The sequence below is a fragment of the Homo sapiens genome, chromosome 5 (genome assembly GCF_000001405.40).
Source record: "Homo sapiens chromosome 5, GRCh38.p14 Primary Assembly".
NCBI classification, from domain to species: Eukaryota; Metazoa; Chordata; class Mammalia; order Primates; family Hominidae; genus Homo; species Homo sapiens.
Window position 1 is genome coordinate 60866151 of NC_000005.10, and position 17604 is coordinate 60883754.

At 38.8% G+C, this 17604-nt stretch overlaps 1 protein-coding gene across 3 annotated transcripts in view; it reads right to left on the minus strand.

The window, feature by feature from the left end:
* Nucleotides 1-303: 303 nt before the first annotated feature.
* The window catches only part of ERCC8 (ERCC excision repair 8, CSA ubiquitin ligase complex subunit), a 78617-nt gene continuing 61316 nt past the window's right edge, over nt 304-17604 (minus strand). For all 3 annotated transcript variants that reach the window (NM_001290285.2, NM_000082.4, NM_001007233.3), the window contains one exon: nt 304-8533. In NM_001290285.2, coding sequence (NP_001277214.1) covers nt 8465-8533 — 69 coding nt within the window. In that variant the 3' untranslated portion in view covers nt 304-8464. The remainder of the gene's footprint in view (nt 8534-17604) is intronic.

The window sequence follows — 17604 nt, forward strand, 5'->3', positions numbered from 1 at the left end:
TCATCATTCTCAGTAAACTATCGCAAGAACAAAAAACCAAACACCGCATCTTCTCACTCATAGGTGGGAATTGAACAATGAGAACACATGGACATAGGAAGGGGAGCATCACACTCTGGAAACTGTTGTGGGGTGGGGGGAGGGGGGAGGGATAGCATTGGGAGAGATACCTAATGCTAGATGACGAGTTAGTGGGTGCAGCGCACCAGCATGGCACATGTATACATATGTAATTAACCTGCACATTGTGCACATGTACCCTGAAACTTAAAGTATTAAAAAAAAAAAGTTCTATTGGCTGAGTGATTCTTATATTTCAGAACTTTATTTCATTTATTCTTACAACTTTGTAAGGTGTATTTTATTCCCGTTCTACAAATGAATAAACTTGCAAAATCAAATAGGTAATCAATGATGGCTCCATAATAATTCACATGGAAACTTTGCTTTAAAAGTGTAATTCAGGCAAAATTCATTCCATTAGAATTTGAGTGTTCACTCAGTATTAAGACAATTCATAAAACTTTTATAATGACACTCTACCTCTGCCTTCAATGAACTTTAATTATAATTAGTTTAGAACCTAAGCCTCTAATTATTTATGCATACCATTTTTAAATGCTTTAGAAAATATGATGATTTGTGATTTTAGAGCAGGAATGAACCTTAATAATTTTCTATTCCAGTTTTCTGTCCCCTTCCTTTTTTTTTTGAGATGGAGTCTCGCTCTCTTGTCCAGGCCGGAGTGCAGTGGCGCAATCTCGGCTTACTGCAAGCGCTGCCTCCGGGGTTCACGCCATTCTCCTGCCTCAGCCTCCCAAATAGCTGGGACTACAAGTGCCCGCCTAATTTTTTTTTTGTATTTTTAGTAAAGACGGGGTTTCACCATGTTAGCCAGGATGGTCTCGATCTCCTGACCTCGTGATCCATCCACCTCAGCCTCCCAAAGTGCTGGGATTATAGGCGTGAGCCACCATGCCCAGCCCTTCCTTCATTTTTAACCAATGAAAAAAGAAGGAAAAAAAATATCCAAATGTATATGTTTCCTTGGTAGTGACCTAAGACAGACTCAGGACTTTTGATTTCCAGTCCACTGTTATTTCTTTTTCTTTTCATTTTTTTGAGACAGAGTCTTGCTCTGTCACTCAGGGTGGAGTGCAGTGGGGCGATCTCGGCTCACTGCAACCTCCGCCTTCAGGGTTCAGGCCATTCTCCTGCCTCTGATGCCCAAAGTGCTGGGTTTACAGGTGTGAGCCACTGCGCCTGGCCTTATTTCTTTATAAAGCCATTACAATGAAAAAAATAATCTTACCATTCTTTAATGTCCATAGTGATCATCACTGAGTTATTCTAATAACTTTTTCCATAATACTCTGAATTTTGCATATATATGTAAGAAACCATTAGAATATTACAATAAAAGTTAATAACTCAGTTCTCAAAGACTTATTAGGAATGTTCTTTGTTTTAGCATAAGTTTGAACAGTGTATTTATTTAGAAAATATACAGATTTACACAATAGTGGATGATACCATCATGCAGGGTGTAGAGAAGCTGGAATTAAGTGTTTGAGCCACATGGGAGAAGCAGCTCTCCTGCTCCTGGTGGTGTTTTTACAGAAGGTGTTGACAAGCTCTCATTTAGTACTGTTGCTAATCCTTGCCACAATGGATGAAATGAACAAAAGAAAACTGGCTTGTGCCAGTCACCTGAGCCAATAAATTGTTGCCTTAAAGAGCTGACTACAGGCTGGCCGCGGTGGCTCATGCCTGTAATCCCTGCACTTTGGGAGGTCAAGGCGGGCAGATCACCTGAGGTCAGGAGTTCGAGACCAGCCAGACCAACATGGAGAAACCCTGTCTCTACTAAAAATACAAAATAAGCCAGGCATGGTGGCGCATGCCTGTAATCCCAGCTACTTGGGAGGCTGAGGCAGGAGAATCGCTTGAACCCAGGAGGCGGAGGTTGCGGTGAGCTGAGGTCACACCATTGCCCTCCAGCCTGGGCAACAAGACGAAACTAGTTCTGTAAAACTTATGCAACCACCATTAACAAACTGTCAAGGCATAAAAACACGAGCAGCTTAATGAACTTAGTCTTAACATTGACTTAATTGTGTTTTTAGAGACAGAATAACTAACCAGGTTGGGACAGAGACACCCATTTCTTTCTAGACCTCAGAAGAGCATGAACTCGGAGAGCGGTTATCAATCCACTAGCACAAAGTTTACCAGTATCTTCATGAGGAGTGGTCAGTCAAGAGGACATTGGGCACCTGAAAAGTCCTACACACAGAGAACTAAGAGAGGTCGCAACATAGTTCTTTAATTTTACCCCCTTCCTTTGAAATTTTAATTGTCTAATTATTAGGTTGGTGCAAAAGTAATTGCAGTTTTTGTGATTACTTTTAATAAAAACAAAAAACAAGAAGCCACATGGCAGCAAAAGAAGTATGCCTTCTGTATCTGAGGATGTTGCTGATAGAGCTAGCAAGATAGAAAAATTTGTATTATAATAAATGATTTGTAATAATTCTAAGCACCCAGGAGGTTTACAACAGTGATTCTAGGTAGCACATTAAGAACTACACACATATTCTTTGCAAAGAAGAAAAAATGTTTATGATTAAACTTCGTTAGTTTTCTTCCCTGAATTTAATACTTTTCCAGAATTAAAACAGAAGAACTAGCACTATCCTGAGCCCTAGATTTAACCTTCCGATGTCCAGAAATTCATTACAATAGAAAGCAAAGTGATTGTTTTCCTTTCTGTAATTAGCTTTCCCTGCTATATTTTTCGACAGGCAATATTCTAATTGTGCTAGGCTTGCCATTCCATTTCTGGCATAGTTAGAGTGATTTTAAGTTTACTGCTTTAGTGATAAGTTTTTTAGTTCGGGCTCAATAATTAGCACCTGAACATGGAAAACATTAAATTAAAAAAATGGAAATTTACCAAAGTATTTGTTTATAAAAATTATAGAATTCACAGAAACGTCTTTAGCTTCTCTAGTCTTCAGTAGTTATATCATTTTTATAGAAATAACAAAGTATTAGTATATTACTCAACAGTAATGAAATATTTCTGAATGAAAACTGTGTAGCCCTTATTTAAGTACCTAATTTGAGGTTTTCCTTTCCATTGTGAAATAGTGATTTTGCTTTGAAAAATAATTGAGATTAGTTTGCTGATGCAATATTTTTCTACCACTGTCTCATTTCGATTTTAAATAATAAAGCTAATGGTGTGTCTCTCACCAATACTGAGCTCTACAAACCTATGTGTCTCTTACTGAAGAGCTTCGTTTTGAAATTACTTTATCTATTATTATAATTGGTACAGTTTAAGGTTTTGTCTTTAGAGAATTTTTTAAAGGTTTTAAAATCTATTTTAAATGGGGCTTTTTAGTATAAACTGGACACAAGGAACACTTCAGTTCATGGGATAACTTTTTTTCTCTATTAAGGTGTTCCCTTAATTCTAAAGTAAAGGCATGGTAGCAAGTTTAAAAGAGAGGTCAAGCTGATCTACGATGTGATTTTTTAGGCTTCTGGTTAAAAATAGATTTATGGCTATGTTAATAAAATGTGCATTTATTATTTCTACATATTTTTTTAAAACTAGGCATTTCATAGGTGTACCATAATGACTAGTTAAAAATGGAATCAAAGTGAAGTGAACAAATGGCCTAAGTATTCTTTGAAATATGGCAGAATATAAGTACCTTAGGTGACGAAAGGACAGCCAAGACAGCGTGAAAGGAAAACATATAAAATGTACAAGGCACTGGAGAGAAGTTATACATGATCGCTGCCTTCATAATAGATTCATTGATATACAATGTGAATAAGGGTTGACAAATACCAGTTGAATAAACAATTATTAAAAAGTTTCAAGTGGAAGCCTCCCATATTTCTCCACTATATTTTTGCAAGTGCTTAACAAAACAAAACAAAACAAAACAAGGGTTTAGGGTGGGGAGGGGAATAAAACAATAATCAAAAGTCTCCCCTAATTATCACAGTCAGGCCTGAATTAGTAACCTTGAATATCAAACACAAACTCTCAAAGTATAGGACAGAAACAACAAAACAAGTAATTATTAAGCACCTACTACATGCCAACTACAGTTCTAAGAATTGAAACAAAACAAAACAAAAAGGGCAAGGAGAAACGAAAAGATAAGACAATGAAAGAGAAGTCGAAGTCAGGCCCGGCACGGTGGCTCACGCCTGTAAATCCCAGCACTTTGGGAGGCCGAGGCTGGTGGATCACTAGAGCCCAGGAGTTCAAGACCAGCCTGGCCAACATGGTGAAACCCCACCTCTGCTAAAAAAAAAAAAAAAAAAAAAAAAAAAAAATTAGCCAGGCGTGGTGGTGGGCACCTGTAATCCCAGCTGCTTGGGAGGCTGAGGCAGGAAAATTGCTTGAACCTGGGAAGCGGAGGTTGCAGTGAGCTGAGATGGCGCCACTGCCCTCTAGTCTGGGTGACAGAATGAGATTTTGTCTCAAAAAAAAAAAAGGGAAGAAAGGAAGAAACATAGAGAGGTCAGTTACATGCAATTTTTAGATAATCCAAAAAAGAAGAAGGAAAAAGGAGAAGCAACAATTAGACAAATATTAGAAGAAAATATACCTGAGCTGAGAAAAGGTTTGGACCTTCATTGAAAGAGCTCCCAAGAAGTCTAAGAAGTGACGGAAGAGAATAAAAAAAGACATCAGATTTCTTGACGAGATTAAGAAACTGTAAGTTTTTACTTTTTTCTTTTAAACCTCAGTTTACAAGCTTCCAGCTGTAACGAATGAATTCCCTACAAAGGGAAAAAAAACCAAAGTGGCTTTGGAATTCTCAACTGCAATACCAGAAGCTAGAAAAAAGTGGGCACAATATCTATAGACCAACAAAACAAAAGGACTACAACCCAAAAATCGTATACCCAGCTAAACTATCATTTCAGAGGGGAAAAAAAAGATGATATTCAACAACTAAATTGTACAAATTGTACACCAAAATATACCAAGAAAAATATAGTACAGTTCCAAGTCTTCACTAATAAACATGTAGCCTTGAACAGGGGACCAGCTGAAAACAACTGGGGGACATTCACAAAATGCAGTATGATGCAGTTAACAAAAAGAATAACTTTGTTATAACAAATGACAGAGAGGGATTTATATAAGCTGTAACTGCAAAATATAATTTAAAAACTTTGTATATCCCAGTTCTGCAAAATAAAAATACATCCCCTATATGTCTGCATAGATATATATAGGATTGCAATATGAAAGAACACAGTCTAGGTTAATAACTTGGTTTGTGGCAGCAGGGGTAAGGACTGGGGAATGTGGTACTAATGTGGAAAGAGAGGGGTGTTTATAACAACAGCTTGTTGAACATCCCATTATGTAAAATTATATGTATCATAAGAGATTCATGAAGAATGACCATGAAAATGTTAGTGGTGGTTACCTTATGGTATTATAATTCCAGGTGACCACTACCTTCCTTTTTAGATTTTTATGTTGTTTGAATTATTTATAATGAGCCTATATATCTATATAACTAGAAGTAAGTAAAACAGTTACTTGCAGTTTGGAAGCAGACTTCCTTTTTCTTAAAAATAAATTTCCAATTTTAATAGCTTTTCTTTTCTTTTTCTTTTGGGAGACACAAGGTCTCGCCATGTCACCCAGGCTGGAGTGTAGTGACACGATCTTGGCTCAATGCAGCCGTGACTTTACAGGTTCAAGTGATTCCCCAGCCTGAGTCTCCCAAGTAGCTGGGACTACAGGTGTGCACAACACACTTGGTTAATTTTTGTATTTTTTATTTAGAGACGAGGTTTTGCCATGTTGCCCAGGCTGGTCTTGAACTCCTGAGCTCAAGTGATCTGCCTGTCTCAGCTCACAAAGTGTTAGGATTACAACCACCGTGCCCGGCCAATAGCTTTTTCAAACTAGCTTTTTCAAAGGTCAAATGCATCCTCACCAAGGGGACAAGATTGAAAGTAGAATGGCCTGGGCTTAATAAATCAATGATTTGAAACTATCAGAAGAAAACATGGAGAAAATGCTCCATGACATTGGTCTGGGCAATGATTTTTTTGGATACGATCTCAAAAGCACAGTAACAAAAGCACAAGTACAGAAATGAAATTACATGAAACTAAAAAGCTTCTGCACAGCAAAGGAAACAATTAATAGGGTGAAGAGACAACCTACAGAATGGAGAAAAAATATTAACTATAGATCTGATAGGGGGTTAATATCCAAAATACATAAGGAACTCAATAGCAGGAAAACAACCCATTTAAAAATGGGCAAAGAACCTGAAAAGACAGTTCTCAAAAGAAGACATGCAAATGGCCAGCAGATATATGAAAAAATTATCAACATCAGCAGTCACCAGGGAAATGCAAATTAAAACAACGAGATACCACCTAACACCTGTTAGAATGGCTACTATCAATAACACAAAAGATAACAAGTGTTGGCAAGGATGTGAAGAAAAAGGATTTCTTGCATTATTGTGAAGAAAAAGGAATTCTTGCATATTCTTGGTAGGAATGTAAATTAGTACAGCCATTATGGAAGACAGTATGGAGTTTCTGCAAAAAGTTAAAAATAGAACTACATATGATCCAGCAATCCTAATACTGGGCTTATATCCAAAGGATATGAAATCAGTATGTCAAAGAGATATCTGCACTACCAGGTTCACTGCAGCATTATTCACAATAGCCAGGATATGGTATCAACCTAAGCATCTGTCAATGGTTGAATGGATAAAGAAAATGTAGTACATATACACAAACAGCTGATCTCATAGAAGTAGAGAGTAGAATGGTGGTTACCAGGAGCTAGGGTTGTTGGAGAAACATTGGTCAAAGGATACAAAATTTCAGTTAAAAAGGGGGAATTAGTGCAAGAGACCTATTGCACAACATAGTAACTATAGTTACAATTACAAGATTACTATTAATTTTGAAAAATAAGAGAATGGATGTAAAGTGTTCTTACCACAAAATGGTAACCATGTGAGGCATATGTCAGTTAGCTAGATTTAGTCATTCTATAATGTATATATGCTTCAAAACAGTATGTTGTACATGGTAAATACATACAATTTTATCTGCCAATTGGAAAAAAAAATCAATTGTAAAAGCAAGTGTTTGGAAAACATTTAGCTGGAAAGGTCTGATAGGAGGTCTAACCCTTATACACTTAAAAACTCAACAACTGGCTGGGTGCAGTGGCTCAAGCTTATAATTCCAGCACTTTGAGAGGCCGAGGCGGGTGGATCATTTGAGGTCAGCAGTTCGCAACCAGCCTGGCCAACATGGTGAAACCCCATCTCTACTGAAAATACAAAAAAATTAACCGGGCGCAGTGGCGGGAGCCTGTAATCCCAGCTACTCAGGAGGCTTAGGCAGGAGAATTGCTTGAACCTGGGAGGTGAAGGTTGCAGTGAGCTGAGATCAAAACACTGCACTCCGGCCTGAGCGACAGAGTGAAACTCCATCTCAGGAAAAAAACAAAAAAACAAAAAACCCTCAACAACTGTTTACTTTTGGTATTCAAGCTCATAAAAGCCTCATTTACTAGTCTACTGCTGGTAAGGATCAGGAAGGGAAAATTAAGATTACCTTCATGATAATCACGTGTGGGTTGACACAGACGGAGACAATAACATAGAAATTTTATTACAGCATTTCATGTTTAAGCCAGATTCCCTGCCAGGATATTTTCTGCTTGAATTAATGAGGCAGGATTTGGTCATACCTTAATGAGTTTCACAGAAAAAGAGTTCAAGCATTAGCGCAAACTGCCTTCTGACATTAAAATAAAATAAAGCAAACATGGGATTTTCACAAAGTTAAAAGCCTCCTGTGATGCACATTTTGGATAGTAGGAGACATTGAGCCCCAAAATGTTTAACATAAAGCATGGTTAATTAAATGAAACCACTGAAAAATGTGAATACATGAAGAAGAAAGAATAAAATAATTTTGATGTTACCATTTCAACTACTATTTTTGATATAATCATTCTTGGCAAAATCATTCTTAAAGGTGGAAACGAGCAGGCTGATAGTACAGCAAGTAAGAGAAAGTCAATACTGATGGCCTCCACTTGCTGATCCTCTGAGACTGCATCTTATAGTTCATAAAATCTGCTGAAGGTCACAACTGAGGTACAACGACTTGTGTTACTTGTACTGTAGCAATGAGGGCTTTCCCAGGCCACAACATCTGGGATCAAGGAACACATTTTGACTAAATAAACTATACAGAAGTCTGTTTTAGGATTTTATGCAAATATTAACCTCATTTTAAAACATGAGGAAAAATATTACCCACATTTAGGGCTAATTTAGCTGTCAGGAATAGACCATACAGTTGAAAAAAACACAGTCTCATTTAAAAAGTTTCAGCAGAGACAAAAAGGTACTAAAGATGATATTCATCCTTCTTCATCACTGCTGCTCCAGGCATCTTCAAAGGCCGGATTTAATTGTGATTTTGTTGTAGTCTAAAAAAAAAAAAGATAAAGAAAAAGGAAGATTCTGTTTTTTCTACTTCATAATTTTAGGCTCACAATAAAGTTATGAAATATATCAGATAAATAGCAATTACATTATTTTGGAAGAAAATGTATAACTGTTAATTTCAGAACAAAAATAAGAAACAACCCATATACAATATAAGATAATGTAACTTCATTTGAAACAGACAACACCAGACTTTATCCAAACACCCTGTTTCCTTTAATCACTTCACAAATACATACATACACACATACATACATATACTATGATGCTGCCATTGCTCAAGGTATTTCTCAACAACTCTTTGGAATTACCTGGAGAAAGTGGCACTCTGATATCCATAGGCTAAGACTGGACTCCAGGTGTACAGTCTGACCTGACAGCCCAAAATATCAATGGTGGCAACTCTTTATTGTTTGGATGAAAATAACTTTTATAAATAAACAAATACCAAATATGGAGAATAAGGTATTCAAGCTGAATAATACCATTTTTAGTCCAAAAATAATGTGGGTTATTAAGTAGTGATATTTATGTACTTATTTGTAAGCAGTGATATTTAATTACTTATTTTTATAGGTTGGTAGGGCAGTTCAGTAAAACATGCAAAATACGTCAGAAATGGTAACACGTTTATAGTCAGCACATAGGTTTCCCTCAGGGATTTGTCTGAAGGATAACATGCATCTAGATGATGTTTATTTAAAACAACAAGGTGATTAGCAACTACAGAAATTTTAATCATCTGTGGTATTTCAAATCAGTTCATTTTGGGGAAAACTTCTGAATAGCTACTTCTGATACTCATGCAAATAACTAAAAGGGCTTTAAGATGGTCTCATTGTTAAAGTAATTGGGTATTATGAGCCAGGTTTGCTTCTTTTTGTGCAACTTTTACAACTACTACAATTTTATTCAGATTCCAATTCCAATGCTGTATTAGCATCAAGACTACTCTTAAATTATTTTAGATTTATTGCCTTTTATAACTTAGAGAAATTTTTTTTTTCCTTTTGAGACAGAATCTCACACTGTCGCCCGGGCTGGAGTGCAGTGGCGCGATCTCCGCTCACTGCAAGCTCCGCCTCCCGGGTTCACGCCATTGTCCTGCCTCAGCCTCCCAAGAAGCTGGGACTACAGACGCCTGCCACCACGCCTGGATAATTTTTTATATTTTAATTTATTTATTTTTTCTTTTTTTTATTATACTGTAAGTTTTAGGGTACATGTGCACAACGTGCAGGTTTGTCACATATGTATACATGTGCCATGTTGGTGTGCTGCACCCATTTAACATTAGGTATATCTCCTAATGCTATCCCTCCCCCCTACCCCCACCCCACAACAGGTCCCGGTGTGTGATGTTCCCCTTCCTGTGTCGAAGTGTTCTTACTGTTCAATTCCCACCTATGAGTGAGAACTTGGCGGTGTTTGGGTTTTTGTCCTTGCAATAGTTTGTTGAGAATGATGGTTTCCAGCTTCATCCATGTCCCTGCAGAGGACATGAACTCATCATTTTTTATGGCTGCATAGTATTCCATGGTATATATGTGCCACATTTTCTTAATCCAGTCTATCACTGATGGACATTTGGGTTGGTTCCAAGTCTTTCCTGTTGTGAATAGTGCCGCAATAAACATACGTGTGCATGTGTCTTTATAGCAGCATGTTTTATAATCCTTTGGGTATATACCCAGTAATGGGATGGCTGGGTCAAATGGTATTTCTAGTTCTAGATACCTGGGGAATTCCTACATGGACTTCCACAATGGTTGAACTAGTTGACAGTCCCACCAACAGTGTAAAACTGTTCCTATTTCTCCACATCCTCTCCAGCACCTGTTGTTCCCTGACTTTTTAATGATCACCATTCTAACTGGTGTGAGATGGTATCTCATTGTGGTTTTGATTTGCATTTCTCTGATGGCCAGTGATGATGAGCATTTTTTCATGTGTCTTTTGGCTGCATAAATGTCTTCTTTTGAGAAGTGTTTGTTCATATCCTTCGTCCACTTTTTGATGGGGTTGTTTGTTTTTTTCTTGTAAATTTGTTTGAGTCCATTGTAGGTTCTGGATATTAGCCCTTTGTTAGATGAGTAGATTGCAAAAATTTTCTCCCATTCTGTAGGTTGCTTGTTCACTCTGATGGTAGTTTCTTTTGCTGTGCAGAAGCTCTTTAGTTTAATTAGATCCCATTTGTCAATTTTGGCTTTTGTTGCCATTGCTTTTGGTGTTTTAGACATGAAGTCCTTGCCCATGCCTATGTCCTGAATGGTAATGCCTAGGTTTTCTTCTGGGGTTTTTATGGTTTTAGGTCTAACATTTAAGTCTTAATCCATCTTGAATTGATTTTTGTATAAGGTGTAAGGAAGGGATCCAGTTTCAGCTTTCTAAGTATGGCTAGCCAGTTATCCCAGCACCATTTACTAAATAGGGAATCCTTTCTCCATTTCTTGTTTTTGTCAAGTTTGTCAAAGATCAGATGGTTGTAGATATGCAGCATTACTTCTGAGGGCTCTGCTCTGTTCCATTGGTCTATATCTCTGTTTTGGTACCAGTACCGTGCTGTTTTGGTTACTGTAGCCTTGTAGTATAGTTTGAAGTCAGGTAGTGTGATGCCTCCAGCTTTGTTCTTTTGGCTTAGGATTGACTTGGCAATGCGGGCTCTTTTTTGGTTCCACATGAACTTTAGTTTTTTCCAATTCTGTGAAGAAAGTCATTGGTAGCTTGATGGGGATGGCATTGAATCTATAAATTACCTTGGGCAGCATGGCCATTTTCACAATATTGATTCTTCCTACCCATGAGCATGGAATGTTCTTCCATTTGTTTGTATCCTCTTTTATTTCCTTGAGCAGTGGTTTGTAGATCTCCTTGAAGAGGTCCTTCACATCCCTTGTAAGTTGGATTCCTAGGTATTTTAATCTCTTTGAAGCAATTGTGAATGGAAGTTCACTCGTGATTTGGCTGTTTGTCTGTTATTGGTGTATAAGAATGCTTGTGATTTTTGCACATTGATTTTGTATCCTGAGACTTTGCTGAAGTTGCTTATCAGCTTAAGGAGATTTTGGGCTGAGACAATGGGGTTTTCTAGATATACAGTCATGTCATCTGCAAACAGGGACAATTTGACTTCCTCTTTTCCTAACTGAATACCCTTTATTTCCTTTTCCTGCCTGATTGCCCTGGACAGAACTTCCAACACTATGTTGAATAGGAGTGGTGAGAGAGGGCATCCCTGTCTTGTGCCTGTTTTCAAAGGGAATGCTTCCAGTTTTTGCCCATTCAGTATGATATTGGCTGTGGGTTTGTCATAGATAGCTCTTGTTATTTTGAGATACGTCCCATCAATACCTAATTTATTGAGAGTTTTTAGCATGAAGGTTGTTGAATTTTGTCAAACGCCTTTTCTGCATCTATTGAGATAATCATTTGGTTTTTGTCATTGGTTCTGTTTATATGCTCGATTACGTTTATTGATTTGTGTATGTTGAACTAGCCTTGCATCCCAGGGATGAAGCCCACTTGTTCATGGTGGATAAGCTTTTTGATGTGCTGCTGGATTCAGTTTGCCAGTATTTTATTAAGGATTTTTGCATTGATGCTCATCAGAGATATTGGTGTAAAATTCTCTTTTTTTGTTGTGTCTCTGCCAGGCTTTGGTATCAGGATGATGCTGACCTCATCAAATGAGTTAGGGAGGATTCCCTCTTTTTCTATTGATTGGAATAGTTTCAGAAGGAATGGTACCAGCTCCTCCTTGTACCTCTGGTAGAATTCGGCTGTCAATCCATCTGGTCCTGGACTTTTTTTGGTTGGTAAGCTATCAATGATTGCCTCAATTTCAGAGCCTGTTATTGGTCTATTCAGAGATTCAACTTCTTCCTCGTTTAGTCTTGGGAGGGTGTATGTGTCCAGGAATTTATCCATTTCTTCTAGATTTTCTAGTTTATTTGCATAGAGGTGTTTATAGTATTCTGATGGTAGTTTGTATTTCTGTGGGATTGGTGGTGATATCCCCTTTATCATTTTTTTTGCGTCTATTTGATTCTGCTCTCTTTTCTTCTTTATTACTCTTGCTAGTGGTCTATCAATTTTGTTGATCTTTTACAAAAACCAGCTCCTGGATTCACTGATTTTTTGAAGGGTTTTTTGTGTCTCTATTTCCTTCAGTTCTGCTCTGACCTTAGTTATTTCTTACCTTCTGCTAGCTTTTGAATGTGTTTGCTCTTGCTTCTCTAGTTCTTTTAATTGTGATGTTAGGGTGTCCATTTTAGATCTTTCCTGCTTTCTCTTGTGGGCATTTAGTGCTATAAATTGCCCTCTACACACTGCTTTGAATGTGTCTCAGAGATTCTGGTATGTTGTGTCTTTGGTCTCGTTGGTTTCAAAGAACATCTTTATTTCTGCCTTCATTTCGTTATGTACCCAGTAGTCATTCAGGAGGAGGTTGTTCAGTTTCCATGTAGTTGAGCGGTTTTGAGTGAGTTTCTTAATCCTGAGTTCTAGTTTGATTGCACTGGGGTCTGAAAGACCGTTTGCTATAATTTCTGTTCTTTTACATTTGCTGAGGAGAGCTTTACTTCCAACTATGTGGTCAATTTTGGAATAGGTGTGGTGTGGTGCTGAAAAGAATGTATACTCTGTTGATTTGGGGTGGAGAGTTCTGTAGATGTCTATTAGGTCTGCTTGGTGCAGAGCTGAGTTCAATTCCTGGATATCCTTGTTAACTTTCTGTCTTGTTGATCTGTCTAATGTTGACAGTGGGGTGTTAAAGTCTCCCATTATTATTGTGTGGGAGTCTAAGTCTCTTTTTAGGTCTCTAAGGACTTGTTTTATGAATCTGGGTGCTCCTGTATTGGGTGCATATATATTTAGGATAGTTAGCTCTTCTTGTTGAATTGATCCCTTTACCATTATGTAATGGCCTTGTCTCTTTTGATCTTTGTTGGTTTAAAGTCTGTTTTATCAGAGACTAGGATTACAACCTCTGCCTTTTTTTGTTTTCCATTTGCTTGGTAGATCTTCCTCCATCCCTTTATTTTCAGCCTATGTGTGTCTCTCCACGTGAGATGGGTTTCCTGAATACAGCACACTGATGGGTCTTGACTCTTTATCCAATTTGCCAGTCTGTGTCTTTTAATTGGAGCAGTTAGCCCATTTACATTTAAGGTTAATATTGTTATGTGTGAATTTGATCCTGTCATGATGACATTAGCTGGTTATTTTGCTCGTTAGTTGATGCAGTTTCTTCCTAGCCTTGATGGTCTTTACAATTTGGCATGTTTTTGCAGTGGCTGGTACCGGTTGTTCCTTTCCATGTTTAGTGCTTCCTTCAGGAGCTCTTTTAGGGCAGGCCTGGTGGTGACAAAATCTCTCAGCATTTGCTTGTCTGTGAAGGATTTTATTTCTCCTTCACTTACGAAGCTTAGTTTGGCTGGATATGAAATTCTGGGTTGAAAATTCTTCTCTTTAAGAATGTTGAATATTGGCCCCCACTCTCTTCTGGCTTGTAGAGTTTCTGCCAAGAGATCTGCTGTTAGTCTGATGGGGTTCCGTTTGTGGGTAACCCGACCTTTCTCTCTGGCTGCCCTTAACATTTTTTCCTTCATTTCAGCTTTAGTGAATCTGACAATTATGTGTCTTGGAGTTGCTCTTCTCGAGGAGTATCTTTGTGGCATTCTCTGTTTTTCTGAATTTGAATGTTGGCCTGACTTGCTAGATTGGGGAAGTTCTCCTGGATAATATCCTGCAGAGTGTTTTCCAACTTGGTTCCATTCTCCCCGTCACTTTCAGGTACACCAATCAGATGTAGATTTGGTCTTTTCACATAGTCCCATATTTCTTGGAGGCTTTGTTCATTTCTTTTTATTCTTTTTTCTCTAAACTTCTCTTCTCACTTCATTTCATTCATTTGATCTTCCATCACTGATACCCTTTCTTCCAGTTGATCAAATCAGCTACTGAGGCTTGAACATTCATCACGTAGTTCTCGTGCCATGGTTTTCAGCTCCATCAGGTCGTTAAAGGACTTGTCTGCATTGGTTATTCTAGTTAGCCATTTGTCTAATTTTTTTTCAAGGTTTTTAACTTCTTTGCCATGGGTTCAAACTTCCTCCTTTAGCCCGGAGTAGTTTGATCGTCTGAAGCCCTTTTTTCTCAACTCGTCAATGTCATTCTCCATCCAGTTTGTTCTGTTGCTGGTGAGGAGCTGCGTTCCTTTGGAGGAGGAGAGGTGCTCTGACTTTTAGAGTTTCCAGTTTTTCTGCTCTGTTTTTTCCCCATCTTTGTGGTTTTATCTACCTTTGGTCTTTGATGATGGTGACGTACAGATGGGGTTTTGGTGTGGATGTCCTTTCTGCTTGTTAGTTTTCCTTCTAACAGTCAGGACCCTCAGCAACAGGTCTGTTGAAGTTTGCTGGAGGTCCCCTCCAGACCGTTTGCCTGGCTATCAGCTCAGAGACTGCAGAACAGTGGATATTGGTGAATAGCAAATGTTGCTAGCTGATCGTTCCTCTGGGAGTTTTGTCTCAGAGGTGCACCTGGCTCTGTGAGGTGTCAGTCTGCCCCTACTGGGGGGTGCCTCACAGTTAGGCTACTCGGCATCAGGGACCCACTTGAGGAGGCAGTCTGTCTGTTCTCAGATCTCCAGCTGCGTGCTGGGAGAACCACTATTCTCTTCAAAGCTGTCAGACAGGGACATTTAAGTCTGCAGAGGTTTCTGCTGCCTTTTGTTTGGCTATGCCGTGCCCCCAGAGGTGAAGTCTACAGAGGCCGGCAGGCCTCCTTGAGCTGTGGTGGGCTCCACCCAGTTTGATCTTCCCAGCCGCTTTGTTTACCTACTCAAGCCTCAGCAATGGCGGGCGCCCCTCCCCCAGCCTGGCTGCCGCCTTGCAGTTTGATCTCAGACTGCTGTGCTAGCAATGGGCGAGGCTCTGTGGGCGTCGGACCCTCCGAGCCAGGCGCAGGATATAATCTCCTGGTGTGCTGTTTGCTAAGACCATTGGAAAAGTGCAGTATTAGGGTGGGAGTGACCCGATTTTCCAGGTGCCGTCTGTCACCCCTTTCTGTGACTAAGAAAGGGAATTCCCTGACCCCTTGTGCTTCCCAGGTGAGGCGATGCCTCACCCTGCTTTGGCTCATGCTCAGTGCGCTGCACCCACTGTCCTGCACCCACTGTCCGACACTCCCCAGTGAGATGAACCTGGTACCTCAGTTGGAAATGCATAAATCACCTGTCTTCTGCATTGCTCACGCTGGGAGCTGCAGACTGGAGCTGTTCCTATTCGGCCATCTTGGCTCCACCTAGTTTTTTGTATTTTTAGTAGAGACGGGGTTTCACCGTGTTAGCCAGGATGATCTCGATCTCCTGATCTCGTGATCTGCCTACCTCAGCCTCCCAGAGTGCTGGGATTACAGGCGTGAGCCACTGCGCCCGGCTTAGAAACATTTTTTAATGGTAACCCCTACTGCATGTCTGAGAATGTTCATTTTCCTTTTGATGAATATGATAACTTTGAATCTTAGAATTCAATCAATGAAAACAGTAGAAAAAGTTACGTGTTCCTAGTACATTTTCCAAGTATCAGCTAGAAGAGCTGGAAAACAATATATTAATTTAGGCATTCTTTATTGTTAAACAGATTACATTATTAAACTTAATGTCAGCTATACTCCAAATGTCCAGAAGCGAAACTATTATTATTATTATTTGAGATGGAGTCTTGCTCTGTCACCCAGGCTGGAGTGCAGTGGCATGATCTTGGCTCTCTGCAACCTCTGCCCCCCAGGTTCAAGTGAGTCTTCTGCCTCAGCTTCCTAAGTAGCTGTGACTACAGGCGCATGCCACCGGCGAATTTTTGTATTTTTAGTAGAGATGGGGTTTCACCATATTGGCTAGGCTGGTCTTGAACTCCAGATCTTGTGATCTGCCAGCCTTGGCCTCCCAAAGTGCTGGGATTACAGGCGTGAGCCACCACTCCTGGGCACGAAACTATTATTAAACCTCAGGTAACTACTCACTGATTTCTAGCCACGGTACACTTATTTGCAACAGTTGTATACTGAAGTCTGTTCATTTTGTCTTTCATCCAAATGTTTACTGAATTTCCTGTCTTTTTGGGTTGTCAATTTGACTATTAAATTAGGTTATTTAGTGAGAGTTTATTAAAAGACATCTTGTCATTGGGGGTTAGCTGACTCCTCTTCCCTACTCTGTCTCTAGAAGCCTTTAACTTGCCTTTGATAACTACCAAAAATAGCCCTGGGAAAACACACACACACACACACACACACACACACACACATGTCTGTAGGTGGATAAGCCACATGAGGGCCATGCTTCCTAATCCTACTATGGAAGCCCAGTGTGTAACCTATTAAAAATTTTAATTTCAGTTGAAAACTCAACAGAAAAGCAAAATTATACTTCATCATAAATTATTTTTGTATGGTAAGCAAAGAAACAAAAATAAATGAAAATCATAATCAGTTGCATACAAATTATTTCACTTTTCAGTGAAATAATGATATATGAATGCATTACAGTATTTTAGAAATACATTTTATTGCCAAAACAATCACAAATAAATATTATACTGGTAGTATGATAAAGCAGCAGTAAAAATGTTGTAGATGGATGTGGTACACATTACCATTTGAGACCCACTGATCAAGTGTCACTACTATTATTTCAGTTTTCTCTGCAACATCTCCTCCTAGTGGACATGCAGTCTGTGCTTGAACATATTCATCTATATCTCACCAGGTTGTCAATTCTACTGACAGATAGTGTCAATGTTATAGAAATAATGAAGCATGAGTTTAGAGGGGACCTAGTTATGAGTTTAGAGAAGGAATAGAACCAAACTTAACATCTACAAGGATATTTCTTGATAACTTTCAAATTTCTGACTGGTAATTAGTGGCAACTCTCAGGTTGTCAGCAAGTGATTATACATTGACACAAGTGATATGTAAAACAGTTATGTATTGTGTGAATGTCAAAACAAAGTAAGATTCTTAGTGAGAGGTCAGGTTTAAACTGGAATAAACC